The 22744-nt window shown below is 39.2% G+C and overlaps 1 annotated feature.

Annotated features, from left to right (window-relative positions):
- Positions 2648-3148: an enhancer, noted in NCBI's record as "OCT4-NANOG hESC enhancer chr10:59810283-59810783 (GRCh37/hg19 assembly coordinates)". NCBI's record gives its function as "activates a minimal SCP1, AML or CMV promoter by ChIP-STARR-seq in primed H9 embryonic stem cells {active_cell/tissue: H9 hESC(primed)}" and the evidence as "EXISTENCE:reporter gene assay evidence [ECO:0000049][PMID:30033119]".

The raw sequence follows: 22744 nt of genomic DNA, 5'->3' as shown, positions 1-22744 counted from the left end.
GCCAATTCTTCTGAAGTCATCTTTAGAAACTCTTTTAGGAGGTCTGTAATTCGGTTTTGTGAATATATTAACAAAGTAATTTTTTTGGCCAGGCACGGTGGCTCATGTCTGTAATCCCGGCACTTTGGGAGGCCAAGGCAGGCGGATCACGAGGTCAAGAGATCGAGACCATCCTGGCCAACATGGTGAAACCCTGTCTCTACTAAAAATACAAAAATTAGCTGGGTATGGTGGCACATGCCTGTAGTCCCAGCTACTGGGGAGGCTGAGGCAAGAGAATCGCTTGAACCTGGGAGGCGGAGGTTGCAGTGAGCTGACATCGTGCCTCTGCACTCTAGCCTGGTGACAAAGCTAGACTCTGTCTCAAAAAAAAAAAAGTAGTTTTTTATTCTTTTCTGCCTTTGCTTTCATTGCTAAAGAAGGAAATGGTCAAGTGAGTGCATTAGATAGCTGAAGCTCTTAATGAATCTGCATTTATGAATAATACTTATTGAATTATTTTGTGCATGGTAATGTGGTAGACTAGTTCCTATTATTACCATAAAAAAGGTTTTCTGCCCTAACAGCAAATCCTTAACTATAAGTCACATTAAATTTACTTGGGAAGTTAGAAAAATAATGCTCTATGTCTCTCTATAAAGGTAGCTTTCAAAAGCCTTATGTCTGTTATAGAACTTAAGGAAGTGCAGATTCCAAAGAAAGTGAGTCATTAAATCTAAGGTGCGGCCCAGGGATCTGTATTTAAAAAAAATAAGAATCTGTGGTAATTCTGATATAAGTGGTCTTTAAAACTTAGTGAAATAAGCATCATGTTTAGAACTTCATGATTTTAATAATGAATTGTTATCATTATGCAAATGCTTAAATTTATTGTTTCTGACAAATTTCAGTATCATGTATTAAATCTGGTCATTAGATCCTGATCTTTTTCAGAGTCAAAGTATCTTTTAAAAATCAGGTTTTTTATTTTAATCATTCAGCTTAGATCCTAAAATTCTCAAGTTGTACTTACCTCTGTTTAATTGAATAATTTTTTTAAAAAGCCAAAAAAAAAAAAATAAACCACCTTTCTAGATATAATAAAAATGAGTCATATCTGTTTAAAATTTAGGAAATGATATTAAAGAAAAGAAGAAAATCTTAATGTAGTTTGTGGGAAGAGAGGGGCATGTGAAAAGAAAACAAACCTAACCTTTTAATTATGTATTAAATGAGAGTCTCCAATCCACAGTGCACATGTAACATCAAAGTTCTTAACTAAAATGGTTTCTTATTAGCATTTAAGTAAGATGTTTATCTAGTTCTATCACAGTCAGGGGCTGAAACCAAAGGAGTTTAATAAGCACCTCATGGAAGTTCAGGCCTCTAACAGAGCCTTAATTAGCAGATGGAACATCTTACTATTTGAAAAAGTTATGTCAAAGAAACTTTTTTTTGGTTGTTGCCAGATTGCCCATGTGGGCAAAAGAGAGCCTTAAATATCTCGCAACTGAAGCAGAACTAAAAGAAAGCAAATGTTTGTTTTTTTTCCCCTCACCAACCAATTCTCCAATACTCTGGACACCAACTGAGAGTCCTACAATTTAATTCTGAAACTTACTGCCTGGGATTAGCAGAGACCCCACAGATTAAGGATCCAGTTCCACAAGACTGCCTCCCACTTTAGATGCCAATTGCAAGTGCCAGGTTGTCACCTGTATTTCTGACCAACAGGTTATAAATTGAGGGTTCCCATAACCCTCTCCTTATATTCAACAGTTTGCTATAATGGCTTACAAACCTCAAAGAAACATTATAGTTTAACATAAAGGATATTACAAAGGATACAGATGAGGAGCCAGATAAAAAGGGACCTAGGGTGAGGTCTGAAAGGGTGCCGAGGGCAGGAGCTTCTGTTGCCATGGAGTTGGGGTGCACTGTACTCCCTGGCATGTGGATATGTTCACCAACCTGGAAATTCATCAAGTTTCATTGTTCGAATTTTATAGAGCTTAACCTCCAGCCCCTTCCTGGAGGCTGGTGGTCCTGGCTGAAATTCCAACCCTCTAATCACTTGGTCTTTCTGGTGACCAGTCCCATCCTGAGGCTATCCAGGGACCCTACCCTAAGTCATGCATTAGCATAAACTCAGGTGTGATTAATGGGGGTTTTTATGCATAACAAAAGACACTCTTGTCACTAGGAAATTACAGGGGCTCAGAAGTTCTGTGCCAGGAACCGTACAAAATCAAATATATTTTTTATTATACCACTGTAACATGCGTTTGCTTCCTACAATTTTTAGATATTTTCTGTGCTTACAGTTTCTCTGCTCTAGGAACTGAGTCACGGTGGGAATGGTAACAAGAGAATCAAACCTTACCAGGAAAGTGAAATCAATTTGGAGGCAGCTAGTGTTTCTTGAAGCAGCTATATGCAGTAATTGCATTTATAAAGCAAAAGGATAATATGTGGGTATTTACAGATGCATAGAGGCTTTAGGTTACAAACCACAAAAAAACATACTGAGGACTACAAGGAACGACTTTAAACTATCAGGGCTATTTTGAGTGTCTTTTATTTCTGAAGGCTTATTATAATAATCTGGCATCATTCTGTTTGATTTCTTTTTCTGGGTTCTTCTTGGTTGTGTCCTGGTTCCTAGCATAAAACCTGAAGGTTGGCTGAAAAATCACAGACATGAGGCTGATTGACTGATAGAAGAAAAGGCACACAAATTTATTTAACATGTATGCACACCTTCAGAATGAAGACCCCACCCCCAATGAGGTACAGAAGCTTATACACCACCCTGAGGTTATAGAAAGAATGTGGGCTCAGAGTATGGTCAAAAATAGGTTAGGCTGGTAAAACAGGTGTTAGTGGCAAGGCAGGTTTTGGGAGGGAGAAAGGAAGAGGCCTGGCTAGCAAAGGTGTCCTTGTTATGTTGATGAAGACTCATAGATAGCAGCCCTCAGAAAGAATAGGTGGTTAACTATCTCTTTTCAGACCTTTAAAGATGTCAGACTCTGTTTAATCTCTCTAAGATCTGGGAAAGGCTTAGAAAGGGAAGGCAAGGCTGCATTAATGGAGATTCTTTACAGATACAAATTTCCCCCACAAAAGACAGCTTTGTAGGGCTACTTGTGTCTGTTGGCCCTGTGGCAGTCATTTCAAAATATGTCAGAGAAATATATTTTGGGGTAAAATATTTTGATTTTCTTCAGTTGTTCAAGGTTGGCTTTGAGTGTTATTTGAGGAGCCCTGAAATCTCCCCTGTAATCAAAGCCATTTCACAAGTGGCTTGTTGAGAGCCCTGAAACCAGACTTTTTTTTAAATTAAGAAGGCACTTTCTACCAAAAGCCAGTCCAATGCAAATTTGCTATGTTAGGGTTGTAATAGACATGGGCAAGTGACCTATTACTTCAACACTCAGTCATCAATTATCAAATGAGTGACCTCTCATTGTTTCACAGATGTTCACAGATAGAAGGTCCCTAGTGATTCTGCTAATAGCTTTTTGTGTGATATTAGACAAGCCACTTAACCTCTCTGGCTTTCATTTTTTCCACAAATAAAATAAATGCATTGGACTTAAAGTTTCCTAGGACGCTTTTGACTCCAACAATCTACTGATCTTGGAATTTTAAATTTTTTACTTAATACATACTGTTGAATTTTCTAAATTTTTTTCTTACCTTTATCTTAGATGCAAGTATTTGATGGCTTCAATTTAACAAATTCATTCAAAGTAGGAGAATTTAATAGCAAATGTACAATGCACAAGGAGCAATAAATAAATATCCCTACAACTCATCAGCATATGACAGAGTTTTTATATCAACTATGATCATTTTTTCCAAATTTTCAGGGACAGTCCTGATTTACAATGTACTATGTCATTGTTCATATAAACTTAGGGTCAAAAACTCATGTACTACAGGCCATATCCATCTACGGTATGTGTTTTTTTAATTTCATAAGGTGTTTAAGATAATCAGTCATGAAATAGGGCATGCGATCTTCAGTTTGCCACAATCCTGGCTGTTCTATTGTTTTCCTAATTCAGTTTCATTTGCTTACATTACCTGCCTGCATCTTGAAAACTTTTGAGTTTACAATCCATGTTAAATCTCATAAAAGCTATATTTTCTGGATTAGCACTCTCCAACAGAAGTTTCTGTGATGGAGATAATCTACATCTTTGCTGTTTAATATGGTAGCCACTAGCCACACGTGCTTTTGAGCACTTGAAATATGTCTAGTGTGACTGAGGACTACATTATTAATGGTTCAAAATTTAAATAAATTTAAATAGCCACATGAAGAGAGAAAGAAAGAGAGAGAGAAAGAGAGAGATAGTAGCCAGTACAGTGGAAAATGCAGCATCTAGACTGTCTGCTTCGGTTATCTCTTTCTGTACAAGAAACCACCCAAATTTATTTTGCTCACAGATTCAGCAGGTCAGAACTTCATGGCAGAGCACAGATGGCTTGTTGGGGCCTTAGATAGGAAGTTTCAAATGATGGGGTAACTCAGACAGCTCAGGCTGGAATCATCTGGAAGTTGCTTCACTTATGTCTAATGCCTGGACTGGGACAACTTGAAGGCTGGGTTCAGCCGGGACTGCTGAGGAGAGCACTTACATGTGGCCTTTCTTTATGGCATGCACTTGCCACATTATGGTACTTGGGTTCTGAAAGTCTGAAATTCTGGATATGTCCTGTAGTACATACAGATGTGGAATGTTTCTAGAGAACCTGGGGAAGTTGCATGACCTATTCTGACTTAGCTTCAAGGGCTATACTCTGTCACCTCTGTCTGCCTCATTCTATTGGTCACAAGCAAGCCACCATGGTCAGCCACAATTTAATGGGGTTGATATTAAACTCCACCTCTTGATATAAGAGTGACAAGGTCTCAATACAGAAGAGCATGTGGGAGGAGAGATATTGTGGTGGCCATCTCCAGAAAATACAGTCTGCCACAGTCTGTCCTGTGGCCATGGCAATACACTCCTTCCCATATGTCAAACACATACCTTCCTCAAATCCAATGCATCTGATCATTATGACATTAGCTCGAAGTCTATGATCTTCTTATTTAATTAAGTTCAGGTGCAGATGTGGTTCTTTGGCAGTGGTCCCTCTCTGAATCCAGTCCTTCCCCTTCTAAAGACCTATGACCTAAAGAAACAAGTTATCTGGCCCCTTTCCCCTCCTATGCACCCAAGATACAAGGCAGACCCAGTGACAGACTGAGTGCAGTAGACACCCGCATTCAAAGAGTTAGGGGAGGAAGAGGGAGCACAGGGACATCACTGGTATACAGAATACTGAAATTCAGCCACCATGTGTCCCCAGTTCCTTAATGCAGGCTTAGTATTGTTTCCTGGTAATGATCCTCTGTGGCTTTTGGCTCCATCACTGGTCTCTTAGTTTTACCCTTTGAGTCATCGTTTTTTTTTTTGTATAAAAATTAAGCTGTGTTTGCAGCTGAGTCGTTTTCTCAGCCTGATTCCTGTCCACAGCAGTTTGAAGGTACAAAGACATCTTTTTTTTTTTTTTGTATTATCCGTGATCCTTTTGGCTTGAGTGGACAGTGCTTATACCCATATACATTTTGTGGATTCTATGACTTTATGAAAGTTCACTCCATCTGACAAAAACCACAGCCACAATTTTCTTCAAGTCAGGCCCTTCTCTATCTTGGGATCCCTATGAAGCTACTGAGGGGCAATACCCTTAAGAGTCCTAAATTCCTTATTGTTTAACAGGAAGAGTTTTTCAGGAACATCCGTAAGCTCCTTAGAAGGTCTTTATCTAGTTGAATCATGAGACACTTGTGATCAGCTTCTGAGGTCTTATTAACAAGGATCCAACAACCCAACCTGGATTTGATCTTTGCATCGAGGACATTTCCTGCTTTGAGAATCTTTTGCTCTCTAGATTGAGGATCTGGGATTGAGAATCAGTTTTATTATTGACTCAGCAAATCCTACTTCCTTTATGTACCTCTAAATTCTTCTCAAAGATGGAATAATTCCTTGTTAACACCTCTCATTTTTTGTATCCTATTATATTCAGGGAAGAGATACCAGTTGATACTTTGTCTGGAAATCTTAGACAGATCTATCAATTCATTAAGTAATTTCTATATTACTCTAGGTGACAGTTCCACTAAACTTTCTACCACTACATAACAAAGGTCCCTTTTTCTTCAACTTCCAAAACATTTTTCTCACTTTCCTTGAACCTCTTATAGATAGTTTTCTTGAAGCCTAGCAGACTTTCATTTCCTGTCCAATCCCCAAACTGGTGAATGATACATGTTTTAGTGACACAAAGCAACAATCATCTTTAAATGCTCATAGATTCCTGATCTGTAGATCAGGAAATTGTATATAAGCATGGCTCGCCTCTGCTCCACCATGTCTGGGGCCTTAGCCAGGCAGACTAAAATGGTTGAAGACTGAAATAATTTAAAGGTTTCTGTGTTCACATGTTTTAGTGGCTGGAATAAGATGACTTGAAGGCTGGGCTCAGCTGAGTCTTTTATCTGAAGTACCAAATACTGGCTCTTCATGTATCTTGGGTTTTTCATAACATGATGGCTGGATTCTGAGAGGATCTGTCTGGGGAGGGATCATCAAGAGAGCTAATGCTATAAGAGAAATTGGGTAGACGGAAGCCATGTGGACTTTTTATATATAGCTTCAGAAGTCACACAGCATTGCTTCCATTGTATTTTATTGATTACTAGAGTTAGTAAGGCCAGTTCAGATTCAAAGAAAGAGAATTAAACTTTACCTTGTGATAGGGGAATGGCAAGGCCATATTGCAGAACAGCATATAAGATGGGAAATATTGGTGGAAGCATCCTTGGAAAATACAATCTTTCACACTTGTGTAAAAATCTTTTTGATGTAGGGAACTTAGAAATTTCTGAAGACTCTTGTCACAACAATTTCTGGTTATAATAGTAAGTGCTTTGGATGTAGGGCTTTAAGTTATTGTAGTTCAGATAGTTGTATGAAGAAGCCTATCAGCCAGGCTGGGTGGATGCCTCACGCCAGTAATCCCAGCACTTTGGGAGTCCAAGGCGGGCAGATCATTTGAAGTCAGGACTTCAAGACCAGCCTGACCAACATGGTGAAACTCCATCTCTACTAAAAATACAAAAATTAGCCAGGTGTAGTGGTGCATGCCTGTAGTCCCAACTACGTGGGAGGCTGAGGCAGGAGAATCACCTGAACCCAGGAGATGGAGGCTGTAGTGAGCCGAGATTGCACCACTCCAATCTGGGTAACAGAGCGAGACTCTGTCAAAAAAAAAAATGGCCTACCAACAAAAACTACCAGGGATTCACTGACGGCCAAAAAAATATTAGGCTTATTTAGCTTACTGCAGCATAGAAGAGGCATATGAGAGGAATTATTAGGTATTTTGGTAAGAAGGAGTTAGTGGGGCATAGGTCTTGTAGAATTTGTGCTTGTACTGGCTAATTTTAAGGAGGGATTAAGGGAAGTGGAGTCTAGTTCTGGATAAGCTGCTGTCAGGAAGTAAAAGAGCATCATGGTAAATTTTATCTGAAGGTGGAGAGATTCGAGTGGATTCACTATTCATTGGTAAAGAAAGAGTAGTCACTTGTGTGAGCCAGCACAAAAAGAAGTTCAGATATTTTTGTATTTGTGGAGCATCCTTGTTGCTGTTTGGTTTCAGACCCAATCAGTTATCTCTGTCTTGTGTTATATCCCAGTGCAGCCTTGGCTTGCTCAATTATTGTTCATATTGAACAAAAGTTGTTTAGTTTTCTTGAAGACATTAAGGCCTACCTGTCAGGTGCTGGGGCTATTTTTCACTCTCTCACTACTAAAAGTCATCTTTGCCTTTTCATATGAATAGGCTTAGGTATAAATAAAACAGTTAGGAATGAATCCTTAGTTGTAATTAATTCCCCTTGGCGAAGATGAACCAAGAAGCAATGGGTTCACTTTCTGCCATTATCCATTGTATAACCAATAAATCAAATGATTTTCCTTTCTGAGCCTGGGTGTTGGGGGCTTACTTTCTTTATGGTTTCTTGTGTGCCAGTTAAACGAAAAAAATGAAACTTTCTGTTGCTGAAAGTGTTAAGTCTTTTTGGGAAGCTGAAATCTGGTATAGAATTTTAGGATGTGGTAAGATCCCACAGGAAGTCCAAGGCTACTGCCATCTGCTTGGTCCTTTAGAAACTTAAAATCTCAGAAAGTATGATATATAGAAAAAACAGAACTATATCTTAGGAAGTATGACATATAGAAAACCTTCATGGGTGTATGGGAGGCTTGCTTGCCCTCTCAGGGTGTAACCTATACACCTCAGACTTCCACATTTTTTCCCCTCTCATAACTGTGGTGGGAACATTTGAGCTACTACCCAAGCACTAGGAGCTCATGTAAAATATTATTTATCAATTAAAAATAAAAATGACTTATAAGTCCTCAAAGAAAAATACTTGTTCATCACACTACCGTGCTAGTATCAGATCCTCCTTTGAACATTGAGTTGATTTGAAATTGAACAAGGTCAGACTGATGTAGCAGTCCCTGATCTGGATGTGTCTTTTAGACATGAACAAATTCCTAAGAACCTAAGAGCAGAGATGAACTAACACGAATCCACTTCCTTGTGGGACTATAAGTTGTCATTCCTAATGCTGTCTGATAACAAAGTCCTTCCTAGTCCCCATTTCTCAGTGCAGGGCTGGCCCTGTCTGGGTGGAAAAAGCAACAATGGGAAGGAAGGAAATTGCTACTTCCCTACCCACTTCATCACTTGCAAATTTCACAATCCTGGTACCAGCCTTCTTAGCTCTTCTTTCACGCATGTCATGTTTTAACCTGTGGGACCCATGCCTGTTGCTTATTTTAGGTTCTCCTGCTCTAACTATGCAGTTCAAGTTCTAGGATACCTGGCATCTCATTTTCCTTTGATGTATAAATTAATTTTCCCTTTTTGACCACATAATGTGTACAGAATTGAATGAAAGAAGGAAGAGGGAGGGAGGGCCGATAGAAGAATTTTTTTTCTTCTCAGATATTTTTTGCACAGTTGTACAATTAACCCGAAAGCTGAGTGCTTATTGCAAGGGCAAAAAATACTGGGGGAAAACTGAGAGGAGAGGGGAAGGGAAGGCAGAAGCCCTGGACAGAGGCACCATATTGCACCAAAGGAGAAAAAGTCATCCAAAGATATGCAGAAGACTATGAAGGTAGAAATGGGAGCTGGGATGAGGCTCTGACTACAGCTGCTCCTTGCTGCCCTCTCTGTAGAATACTCACTGGATTTACTCACTTGATTATCAGACACGATGCACCACTAGTCTGGCAGAGCCTCATTTCTAGGCTATGCGTATGGCTTGGAGGTAGGGAAACACCATGAGGGGGAGGATGGATGGGGTGAGTCAGTTGTTAACCTTGCCACAGTAAGTATACTTCCTTGGTAAGGAATCTGAAGACTCATTCTAGTAAAAGCCTTGTTAAACATGATGACCAGATTCTGCAGAGTAGCATCTTATTGCCAAAAAGTTTAGCTTCAGAAAGTTACAAACAGGTCTACGGTAATGGCATTCTAAAGATGCTTCCTTCCTACCCCCCTGCCCCCAACACCCACCCAAATCTCTGTCCTTTGGCTATTCAATCAAACACTACTCTAGGTGCTACAGCGAAGTGATTTCACAGATGTAATTATAGTCCCAAATTATTTGGCTTCAAAGTAGGAAGATTATTCAGATGGGCCTGATCTAATCACATATGTTCATGAAAAGAAGAGAAAGTCAGAGAGATTCAAAGCCCAAGAAAGAGCTGACTTCTTGCTGCTGGCTCTGAAGATGGAAGGGGTCATATGAAGAGGGCCATAGGCAGCCTCTGGAAGTTGAATGTGGCTCCTGTTTGACGAACAGTGAGGAAACACAGACATCAGTCCTTTGAGTGCAAGGGATTGAATTCTGTTAAGAGCAGGAATGAACTTGGGAGTGGATTCATCTCCAGAGTTTGCAGAAAGGAACACAGCCCTTTGTGAGACTCTAAGCAGAAAATCCAGCCATATTGTTCTGACCTACAGAACTGTGAGCTTATATATTTTGTTGCTTTAAGGTATTATATTTGTAGTAATTTTTTATATGGCAATAGAAAATGAATACAAGTCCTATTTGCAGGGAGTTTTTAGTAGTGCGCAGGAAAATTACAAAAAGGCAGAATTGAGTAAAATAGGCTTTTCTTTAAAAGAAAGTGTTATTCTTGTTATCAAAGGTCTAAATTTAATATTTAATAGCAATGAAAGGTCTCCAATGTGAAAACAAATGTGGAAAACTCAATTTCTCTATAAAACAGGCTGAATTACATGTCAGCACTGCTGTATCTATGTTGTTGGGGCAACAGGAATATTAAATGTGTTCTTCAAACAGACTGTTAGCAATTCTTTTTAAAAATTCACACCGAGAAACTATGGTTGAATGGAATGGTTCAGAGCACAGGTGGACTTGGATTCATACCATCTTATAGAGATGTTGTGAGAATTAAATGACATAAGTTCTAAATAAATGCCAGCTATCATCATCTTGGGTCTCTATAGCCAAAGGGAATGCAAGTGTTTTAAGAAAATTTTTTACTTAATATCAGAAGAGAACTTCATTTCAGGTCCTTAATTAAATATTAGTCTTTTCTGTAAATTAGCACTCTAGGGTGGACATCAGTAAAAAGAGTTTTAAAATATTATTGTTAGGAATTATACATAAACTAAACTGCTTTTCCAGTTCTTGAATTGTGAGGTTTCTGTCTTTGAATTCTTTCTAAAGGCCAAACTTATTCCCATTTTTTTCTCCCTTTACCTCCAGTCTTGGCTTTGTTTGCATAACCTGGTCACTGCTTCCTTGGGGACAGGGATGACCTGACTCCGTTTTATGTGACATCAGCTACAACTTTCCATTCTTTATTTGGTGCACCAAACGCAGGCTTTCTCTCTTTCTTAACAGAATATCACAAGGAAGAAAAAATCCAAAAAGTTCTCATGATATAATACAAGATGTAAAAGATTTTGAAGATTTTCTCATTATTTCATTTCCTTCCTTTTAACTTACGTGAGTTGTCTCTTAGGAAAAGACCATCTTAATGCTTGTGGTACCCTGTACTTTTGGTGATAGTTTATGAAGAACATCTATTTTCCAGGTGAAGGGAGGATTACCATATACAAAATGGCAAGGTTCTGATAATTGAGGCAAGAGAGCCCAAGAACTTCTGGCACATCAAGGAAAGTCAGCTCCAAAGTAGATTAGCTTTGATTTTAATTTTTCAAGTATTTGCTCAAATTCTGCTAGTTTCCAGTTTGCTTTTATAGCTAAAAGTAAAAGTGTCCTTATAAACTTTGTAAAATTAATTAGGAAAAAAGGGAGGGGAAGAAACAAAATAAACCAGGCTTGCAGCACATTCAGCATTAATCATTAGGTCAGCTTGCTTTCTGGTCCATTCCCTCATAGTTGTTTGTGGCCTATTGCTTCAGAACCATGCAGAACCTGTCCTAAGATTATAGTTCCCCTTAACAGCTCTATAGATAACAGTTTGAACATTGTGAAATGTTGTTTTCCATTTGAGATATTCATTCAGATCCTGCATACCAGTGAAACTACTGACACCAGCTACTATGAAGGACTCCATGAGGAGCTGACTCAACAAAGAATGCAGCTTCCACATCCTGATGAATTCCTCCTCCTTACCCCTTACTCCAACCAATTAACAACCCCAGTTTTTCAGCCCCTCACCCTCCATAATCCTCCTAAAATCCACAGCCCTAAACTGTGGTTAAGGAATTTGGATTTGATGGTCTCCTTCCATCTCCTCATTTGGCACCTTGCAATCATTAAACTCTTTCTCTGCTGCAATCCTTGCTGTCTCACTGTGTTGGACTATTACTGCACAGTGAGCATACAAATCTGTTGGTCCTATAACAAAAGTTTACATTATGCTCACCAGAGGGCATTGTTGATTACTGTCCCATCTATATTCAATTTGGATGTGAGCCTTCTATACTTCTATAGTGTGTATTATCTGCAGAATGCTATGTTAAATATCCTTGAATTAACAGAGGAAGATAAAGTTGAGGCCCTGCCTTCATTAGACAGTCAACAAATATGTATCAAGCACCATTTTTGTGCCCAGCACTAAGATAGGCACTGGGGGTAAAATGGTAGACAATGCAGAATTTGCTCTTTCTTTTATGGTAACAGTGGCAAGACAGTTATTAAACAGCAATGTGTACTGTGAGGAATCTTGTGAAGAAAGTGTCCAGAGAGCCTTTAAGCATCTTATGTTCTGTGAAAGAGCAAGAACATGTAAAGCAGGATTATAATTGTTAATTGAAAGGCTGATTTTTGCCAGAAGGTATGCATTGTTGAGTCTATGGTGTTTGCTCATACAGGGTTTTAAATTTGATTTAGTTGTTAATGGCTTTTTAAAATGCAAAAATAATGTAATATTCGATATTTATAGTTTTTTAATAACTGGAATTTCTAGCAGTGTTGAGCCTCCTTTCCCACATGTCACTAAACAATTGTTAGAGCTGAATAGTGTCCTGCTGTGGTTTGGCTCTGTGTCTGCACCCAAATCTCATCTCGAATTGTAATCCCCATGTGTCAAAGGAGGGAGGTGGTGGTAGGTGATTGGATCATGGGAGTGGTTTCCCCCATGCTGTTCTTGTGATAGTGAATGAGTTCTCATGGGATGGGATGGTTTTATAAGGAGCAGTTTCCCTTGCTCTTCTCTCTCCTGCCACCTTGTGAAGAAGGTGCTTGCTTCCTCTTTGCCTTCTACCATTACTGCAAGTTTCCTGAGGCCTTCCCAGCCATGTGGAACTGTCACTTAAATCTCTTTCCTTTATTAATTATCCAGTCTCAGACAGTTCTTTATAGCAGTGTGAGAATGGACAAATACATACTCTATAGAAGATTCTTGTATTTTTTATTCTGCCATAATCCCTGAGAATCCCTATTGCATCTCTGATATTGAAGCTGAAGGTCATGTGCTTTCACGATTTGGTGGTGTATTTTACTCGTTTATGTTACTGGCCGAGCTCCTGAAGGCGTTTGAGTCTGTGAGCCCTGACTGCCACAGGAAAAGTTTATTGTGTATATACAGTCAGCTTTAATAGAACAGAAATGCCTGGGAATCAATAGAGTAAACAAAGTATTTTGTAGAAATAAGTTTCACTTTGGATGATTTCACATAAGTGGTGATGCTTAAAAGCATTTCAAATGAGGCTTGTGCCTGATTTCTTAAGATGAGAGGATAAGCTATTTTTCATGAAAGGATTATTTGTTCAAAGCCTTAGAGTTGCCAGTTGAATATGTCATGTTTATTTTTAACCAGAGGAGCTTTTTCAAAACACGTATGTCCAGTCATTTCTTCCCGAGATTTTTTTTCTTTTTTTTGAGACAGGTTCTTGCTCTGTCACCCAGGCTAGAATGCCGTGGTATGATCACAGCTCATTGCAGCTTTGTCCTCCTGGGCTCAAGCAACCCTACCAACTCAGCCTCCCAAATAAGCTGGGACCACAGGCACATGCCGCCATGCCTGGCAAACGTGTGTATTTTTTATAGAGATGAGGTTTCTCCATGTTGCCCACGCTGGTCCCGAACTCCTGGGCTCAAGCAGTCTGCCTGTCTTGGCTATGCCAAGTGCTAAAGTTACAGGTATAAAAACGGACACTATGCCCAGCCATTTTTTTCTTTCTTGATTCATAGTTTGGAATGCGGACACAAAATGAGTGGTTGGCAAAAGTACTCTAGGTGGTTCCCATAAGTACCTTCTCCCTGGACCCCTGCTTTGAAAACTACTAAGCTAGGGCATACTAGATGATCAAGGTAAAATGGAAGGAAGAGTAGGACTTTGAAATTCATGATTTATGGTTTATATTTGATTAGAAATAACAACCAGAATTGAAAAAAAAAACAACAATAACAGCAACAACAGCAGTTACCGTGTAACAGGCATTATTCTAAATACTCTTCATGTAAGGAACTCATTTAATCTTTGCAACAAACCTAAAAAAGGTATCATTCCCAGAGATGCTAAGTAAATTGCTCAGGTCACAAAGCTGAGATAGGATTCAACTGAAGAAGTCTTGCTCCAGAGCTCATTTTCTTAACCAGTATGAGTAGTGCCCAGTAGATGAATGAGCTATAATGTGGTCTTCTGAAGACTGAACAAGCAGGAAGATAAGGGAGGGAGAAATCCAGATTTGTATAAGATGGCTTACAGCGAGGAAGACTGAGGAGGCAGAAAGATGTAGTGTGGTTCTTTGGGTCAGTTTTCACATTCTTATCTCTTGGGATTTTACCATAACTTTGTGGTGTTTTGGCAATGATTTATGCAATTGTTCATTGTTTAATAAAGAAATGATTTTTAGGTATACTTCCTGTGCTCATCATGGAAGGCCATTAATTGGCTTTAATTGCTCTTATGATGAATCATCTTAGGAAAATAAGACCTTTAGTCACTTCTGATTTTAACTGCTTACACAAAACCCACTTTAAAAAGTCTATTAACTTACAGAAAGCATTTTTCAATGGCCTTGCTACAGTCTTAATGTTTGCTTCCTCCCCAAACTTACATGCTGATATCCTAATCCCCAAGGTGATAATATTAGGTGGTGGGGCTTTGGGAGATGATTCAGTCATGGGGGCAGAGCCATCATCCATGGGACTAGAGTGTGTCTTAGTTGCTTTTGTGCTGCTATAACAGAATACCACAGACTGGACAATTTCCAAAGAATAGAAATTTACTGGCTCATGGTTCTGGTGGCTGGGAAATCGCATATCAAGGCACCTGCAGGTTTGGCGATTCTAATTCCAAGATAGCTCCTTGAAGGCTGTATCCTCGAGAGGGGAGGAAATATTCATCTTCACTTGGAGAACGGTGGAAAGGCAAAGAGAGAGGTGGCAAGGAGGCCAGAACTCTCCCTTTTATAATGGGCATTAATCTCATGTATGAAGGCATAGACCCCCGGCCTAATCACCTCTTCAGGGTCCCACCTCTTAATAATGCTATAATGGCAATTAAATTTGAACATGAGTTTTGGGGGAGACAAGCATTTAAAGCACATCAGTGGGCTTATTAAAGAAGCTAGAACCCTGTACGGTGGCTCATGCCTATAATCCCAGCATTTTGGGAAGCTGAGGTGGGAGGATCACTTGAAGCCAGGAGTTTGACACCAGCCTGGTCAACACAGTGAGACCTCTGTCTCCTAAAAAAACAGAAAAGCCCCATGTGGTGCGGTGGTGCGGGCCTGTTGTCCTAGCTAAATTGGAGGATCATGAGGTGGTGGTGTGCTGTGATTGTGCCACTGCACTCCAGCCCAAGTGACAGAGCGAGAAAAAATGAATTTCTCTTAAAAAAAAAATGAATCTAGAGAGAGACTCTTCTTGATTGTTCTGCCAGGTGAGGTTATAGTGAAAAGACTGCTCTGGACCAAGAAGCAGGCTCTCACCAGGTACTAAATCTGCCAGCACCTTGATCTTGGAATTCTCAGCCTCTACAACTGTGAGAAATAAATATCTGTTGTTTTTAAGCCACCCAGGTTATGATATTTTGTTATATCATCCTGAATGGACTAAGAGAGTCCTCATCTTTCAACTTTCATTCTTTATTGCTAGAACTGTACACCACACACAATTTCTCACTTTGCTTAGCAAGGATAAAGTTGACTAGGGGCACCCATTCTACCTTTGGCTTCTTCTGGCTGGGCATAGTGGCTCACAGTTATTGGTTACCACCAAATCAAGGCCAGCCTCTAGTTTATTCCTCAGCATGTGCTAGTGAAGCAGCTGCTTGCCAGGTGAATTTGAGGAGCTACCTTACTTTTCGTTATTTCTGGTGACTAAAGCTATTAATCCTCAGGAAAAAATGTTGATTTTATTAAAGACAACTGTTCTGTCACAGCAATATTCTTGTCTCAGAGCAGTAAATACAATGCATTTGGGTATATTTGTGAGAAAAAGGTTCAGACAAAATTGATCACAGGCTTTGAAATGAAATATTCAGGAAATTCACTCTTTCCATAAAGGAAGAAGCAGAGATGACTCTTTAAATGGAGATACATATTCTTTTTGTAAGAAGGGAATTGGGGAGTGTTCTGTACAAAAAGATCTTAGTTCAGTGTAAAGAGTCAGATAGTCATATGAGATAGAAATACTCACGTCTCCAATTTCCCATTTCAGCTGCTTTTTCTAAAATAACAGTGACTGATCCTGCTTCTGGGGAGTTAAACTAAATATCTCCTGGCATGAATGCAGCAACGTTGATGCGACGAATCCCAGTCACTTATACTTTTCCCTCTGCTTTCCCCACTGCCTGAAATAAAGATGAAGCAAATTCAACAGACTGAAATTTCAAGCCCTGTTCTCATTTCCCCCACTTAACATGACTATGCAGCATAAAAAAAATAAATTAATAATCTGAACAACACAATAGGAGAGAAAAATTTTAAAAATGTTTATTTAGCCACTCCATATTTACTGCACATCTGTAATCACCAGGTTGTGTGTTAACACAGATAGTGTTATTACAGTGGTAGCACTGATATCTACTTATGGATTAAAAAACTCTTGTTTTGCATTCATATTGAAGGGCCGCAAAGTACAATGTTTAGTCTCTTGGGTTTAGCAAACAAACCTATATTGGAATTCCAGGTCTGAAATTTACTTCGTGTGACCTTAGGCAAGTCACCTAACTGTTAAACCTCTGTAAAATAAGGATTTAAAAGAATACAAAGTTATTATAAAAATTGAGTGAACTCGAGCTCTGCTAAGGGACAGACGGCCTCCTTGAGTGGGTCCCTTACCCCCATGCCTCCTGATGGGGAGACACCTCCCAGCAGGTGTCAACAGACACCTCATACAGGAGAGCTCTGGCTGGTATCTGGTGGGTGCCCCTCTGGGATGAAGCTTCCAGAGGAAGGAACAGACAGCAATCTTTGCTGTTCTGCAGCCTTTGCTGGTGATACCCAGGCAAACAGGGTCTGAAGTGGACCTCCAGCAAACTCCAGCAGAGGTGCAGCAGAGGGGCCTGTTAGAAGGAAAACTAACAAACAGAAAGGAATAGTATCGACATCAACAAAAAGGATGTCCACAAAGAAAACCCATCCGAAGGTCACCAACACCAAAGACCAAAGGTAGATAAATCCACAAAGATGAAGAAAAACCAGTGCAAAAAGGCTGAAAATTCCAAAAACCAGAATGCCTTTTCTCCTCCAAAGGATCACAATTCCTCACCAGCAAGGGAACAAAACTGGACAGAGAATGAGTTTGACAAATTGACGGAAGTAGGCTTCAGAAGGTGGGTAATAACAAACTCCTCTGAGTGAAAGGAGCATGTTCTAACCCAATGCGAGGAAGCTAAGAACATTGAAAAAAGGTTAGAGGAATTGCTGACTAGAATAACCAGTTTAGAGAAGGACATAAATGACCTGATGGAGCTGCAAAACACAGCACGAGAACTTCATGAAGCATACACAAGTATCAATAGCCTAATTGATCAAGTGGAAGAAAGGATATCAGAGATTGAAAATCAACTTAATGAAGTAAAGCGAGAAGACAAGATTAGAGATAAAAGAATGAAAAGGAATGAACAAAGCCTCCAAAAACCGTGGGACTATGTGAAAAGATGAAACCTACGTTTGATTGGTGTACCTGAAAGTGATGGGGAGAATGGAACCAAGTTGGAAAACACTCTGCAGGATATTATCCAGGAGAACTTCCCCAACCTAGCAAGACAGGCCAACATTCAAATTCAGGAAATACAGAGAACACCACAAAGATACTTCTCAAGAAGAGAAACCCCAAGACACGTAATCGTCAGATTCACCAAGGTTGAAATGAAGGAAAAAATGTTAAGGGCAGCCAGAGAGAAAGGTCGGGTTACCCACAAAGGAAAGCCTATCAGACTAACAGCAGATCTCTCTGCAGAAACCCTACAAGCCAGAAGAGAGTGGGGGCCAATATTTGACATTCTTAAAGAAAAGAATTTTCAGCCCAGAATTTCATATCCAGTCAAATTAAGCTTCATAAGTGAAAGAGAAATAAAATCCTTTACAGAAAAGCAAATGCTGAGAGATTTTGTCACCACCAGGCCTGCCTTACAAGAGTTCCTGAAGGAAGCACAAAACATGGAGAGGAACAACCAGTATCAGCCACTGAAAAAACATGCCAAATTGTAAAGACCATCGACACTATGAAGAAACTGCATCAACTAACGGGCAAAATAACCAGCTAGCATCATAATGACAGGATCAAATTCACACATAACAATATTAACCTTAAATGTAAATGGGCTAAATGCCCCAGTAAAAAGACACAGACTGGCAAAGTGGATAAAGAGTCAAGACCCATCAGTGTACTGTACTCAGGAAACCCATCTCACATGCAAAGACACATATAGGCTCAAAATAAGGGAAGGGAGGAATATATACCAATCAAGTGGAAAGCTAAAAAAGAAAAAGCAGGGGCTGCAATCCTAGTCTCTGATAAGACACACTTTAAACCAACAAGGATCCAAAGAGATAAAGAAGGGCATTACATAATGGTAAAGGGATCAATACAGGAAGAATTAACTATCCTAAATATATGTGCACCCAATACAGGAGCACCCAGATTCATAAAGCAAGTTCTTAGAGACCTACAAAGAGACTCAGATTCCCACATAATAACAATGGGAGACTTTAATACCCCACTGTCAATATTAGACAGATCATTGAGACAGGACATTAACAAGGATATTCAGGACTTGAACTCAGCTCTGGATCAATCAGACCTCAAGGCATCTACACAACTCTCCACCCCAAATCAACAGAATATACATTCTTCTCAGCACCACATTGTGCTTATTCTAAAATTGACCACATAATTGGAAGTAAAAAATTCCTCAGCAAATGTAAAAGAAGAGAAATAACAACAAACTGTCTCTCAGACCACAGTGCAATCAAATTAGAACTCAGGATTAAGAAACTCACTCAAAACCGCACAACTGCGTGAACAACTTGCTCCTGAATGACTACTGGGTAAACAACCAAATTAAGACAGAAACAAATAAGTTCTTTGAAACCAATGAGAACAAAGACACAATGTACCAGAATCTCTGGGACACATTTAAAGCAGTGTTTAGAGGGAAATTTATAGCACTAAACACCCACAAGAGAAAGCAGGAAAGATCTCAAATAGACACCCTAAGATCACAATTAAAAGAACTAGAGAAGCAAGAGCAAACAAATTCAAAAGCTGGCAGAAGACAAGAAATAACTAAGATCAGAGCAGAACTGAAGGAGACAGAGACATGAAAAATCCTTCAAAAAAATCAATGAATCCAGGACCTGGTTTTTTGAAAAGATCAGCAAAATAGATAAATAGCTATCTAGCCAGACTAATAAAGAAGAAAAGAGAGAAGAATCAAAGAGATGCAATCAGAAATGATAAAGGGGATATCACCACTGAGCCCAAAGAAATACAAACTACCATCAGAGAATACTATAAACATCTTTACGCAAATAAACTAGAAAATCTAGAAGAAATGGATAAATTCCTGGACACATACACCCTCTGAAGTCTAAACCAGGAAGAAGTAGAATCCCTGAATAGACCAATAATAAGTTCTGAAATTGAGGCAGTAATTAATAGCCTACCAACCAAAAAAGTCCAGTACCAGATGGATTCACAGCCGAGTTCTACCAGAGGTACAAAGAGGAGCTGGTACCATTCCTTCTGAAACTATTCCAATCAATAGAAAAAGAGGGAATCCTCCCTAACTCATTTTATGAGGCCAGCATCGTCCTGATACCAAAACTGACAGAGACATAACAAAAAAAGAAAATTTCAGGCCAATATCCCTGAAGAACATCAATGTGAAAATCCTCAATAAAATACTGGCAAACCGAATCCAGCAGCACATCAAAAAGCTTATCCACCATGATCAAGTTGGCTTCATCCCTGGGATGCAAGACTGGTACAACATACACAAATCAATAAACGTAATCCATCACATAAACAGAAGCAATAACAAAAATCACGATTATCTTAATAGATGCAGAAAAGGCCTTAGACAAAATTCAACACTGCTTCATGCTGAAAACTCTCAATAAACTAGGTATTGATGGAATGTATCTCAAAATAATAAGAGCTATTTATGACAAACCCACAGCCAACATCATACTGAATGGGCAAAAACTGGAAGCATTCCCTTTGAAAACCAGCACAAGACAAGGATGCCCTCTCTCATCACTCCTATTCAACATAGTATTGGAAGTTCTGGCCAAGGCAATCAGGCAAGAGAAGGAAATAAAGGTATTCAAATAGGAAGAAAGGAAGTCAGATTGTCTGTTTGCAGATGACATGATTGTAAATTTAGAAAACCCCATGGTCTTAGCCTCAAATCTCCTTAAGCTGATAAGCAACTTTAGCAAAGTCTCAGGATACAAAATCAATGTGCAAAAATCACAAGCATCCCTATACACGAATAATAGACAAACGGAGAGCCAAATCATGAGTGAACTCCCATTCACATTTGCTACAAAAATAACAAAATACCTAGGAATCCAACTTACAAGGGATGTGAAGGACCTCTTCGAGGAGAACTATAAATCACTGCTCAAGGAAATAAGAGAGTACACAAGCAAAGGGACAAACATTCCATGCTTATGGATAGGAAGAATCAATATCATGAAAATGTCCATACTGCCAAAAGTGATCTATAGATTCACTGCTATCCCTATCAAGCTACCAAGGACTTTCTTCACAGAATTAGAAAAAACTACTTTAAATTTCATATGGAACCAAAAAAGATTCCACATAGCCAAGACAATCCTAAGCAAAAAGAACAAAGCTGGAGGCATCACGGTACCTGACTTCAAATTATACTACAAGGCTACAGTAACCAAAACAGCATTGTAGTGGTACCAAAACAGCATTGCAGTGGTACCAAAACAGCTATATAGATATAGACCAATGGAACAGAACAGAGGCTTCAGAAATGACATCACACATCTACAACCATCTGACCTTTTACAAACCTGACAAAAACAAGCAATGGGGAAAGGATTCCCTATTTAATAAATGGCACTGGGAAAACTGGCTAGCTATATGCATAAAACTGAAACTGGACCCCTTCCTTACAACTTATACAAAAATTAACTCAAGATGGATTAAAGACTTAAACCTAAAACCTAGAACCACCCTAAAACTTAAAGTATAATAATAATAAAAACAAACAAACAAACAAACAAAAACCCTAGAAGAAAACCTAGTCAATACCGTTCAGCACACAGGCATGGGCAAAAACTTCATGACTAAAACACCAAAAGCAATGGCAACAAAAGCCAAAATTGACAAATGGGATCTAATTAAACTAAAGAGCTTCCACATAGCAAAAGAAACTGTCATCAGAGTGAAAAGGCAACTTACAGAATTGGAGAAAATTTTTGCAATCTATCCATGTGACAAAGGGCTAATATCAAGAATCTACAAAGAACTTAAACCAGTTTACAAGAAGAAAACAACCCCATCAAAAAGTGGGCAAAGGATATGAACAGACACTTCTCAAAAGAAGACATTTATGCAGCCAACAAGCATATGAAAAAAAGCTCATCATCACCGGTCATTAGAGAAATGCAGATCAAAACCACACTGAGATACCATCTCATGCCAGTTAGAATGTTGATCATTAAAAAGTCAGGAAACAACAGATGCTGGAGAGGATGTGGAGAAACAGAAATGCTTTTACACTGTTGGTGGGAGTGCAAATTAGTCCAACCATTGTGGAAGACAGTGTGGCAATTCCTTAAGGATCTAGAACCAGAAATAACATTTGACCCAGCAATCCCACTACTGGGTATATACCCAAAGGATTATAAACCATCTACTATAAAGACATATGCACACGTAAGTTTATTGTGACATGGTTCACAATAGCAAAGACTTGGAACCAACCCAAATGCCCATCAATGATAGACTAGATAAAGAAAATGTGGCACATACACACCATGGAATACTATGCAGCCATAGAAAAGGATGAGTTCATGTCCTTTGCAGGAACATGAATGAAGCTGGAAACCATCCGTCATTCTCAGCAAACTAATGCAAGAACAGAAAACCAAACACTGCATGTTCTCACTCATAAGTGGGAGCTGAACAATGAGAACACATGGGCACAGGGAGGGGAACATCAGGGTCTGTTGGGTAGGGGGGCTAGGGGAGGGATAGCATTAGGAGAAATACCTAATGTAGATGACAGGTTGATGGGTGCAGCAAACCACCATGGCATGTGTATACCTATGTAACAAACCTGCATGTTCTGCACACATACCCCAGAACTTAAAGTATAATAAAAAAAATTTTGAAATAGTTGGCAAAAATTTTAAGTTCTGGGACATGGGTGCATGTATTTGCTGATATAATAATTTCTAGTTTTCACTTTGAAACATCTAATTAAATTTAAAAAGAGCAAATAGGAGATGTGAAAGTGGAGACTAAATCTAGTTAACACTTTTGTGAAATTTTTGAGAAATGGAATAGGTATTGGAGGAGCAGATGAGTGGGTGGGCCCAAGAAATTTTTTTTTTTTTTGTATTTTTGTATTTTTGTCCTTTTTAAGATGGGAAACATGAAAGCATCTCTGTTCTCTGGGAGTAACTCAGTGGAGAGGGAGAAATTCAAAATGCAGTAGAGAGGGGCATAACTATAGGAGAAAGG

The sequence above is a fragment of the Homo sapiens genome, chromosome 10 (genome assembly GCF_000001405.40).
Source record: "Homo sapiens chromosome 10, GRCh38.p14 Primary Assembly".
Taxonomy (NCBI): domain Eukaryota; kingdom Metazoa; phylum Chordata; class Mammalia; order Primates; family Hominidae; genus Homo; species Homo sapiens.
This window is presented reverse-complemented; position numbering and strand designations above follow the sequence as displayed.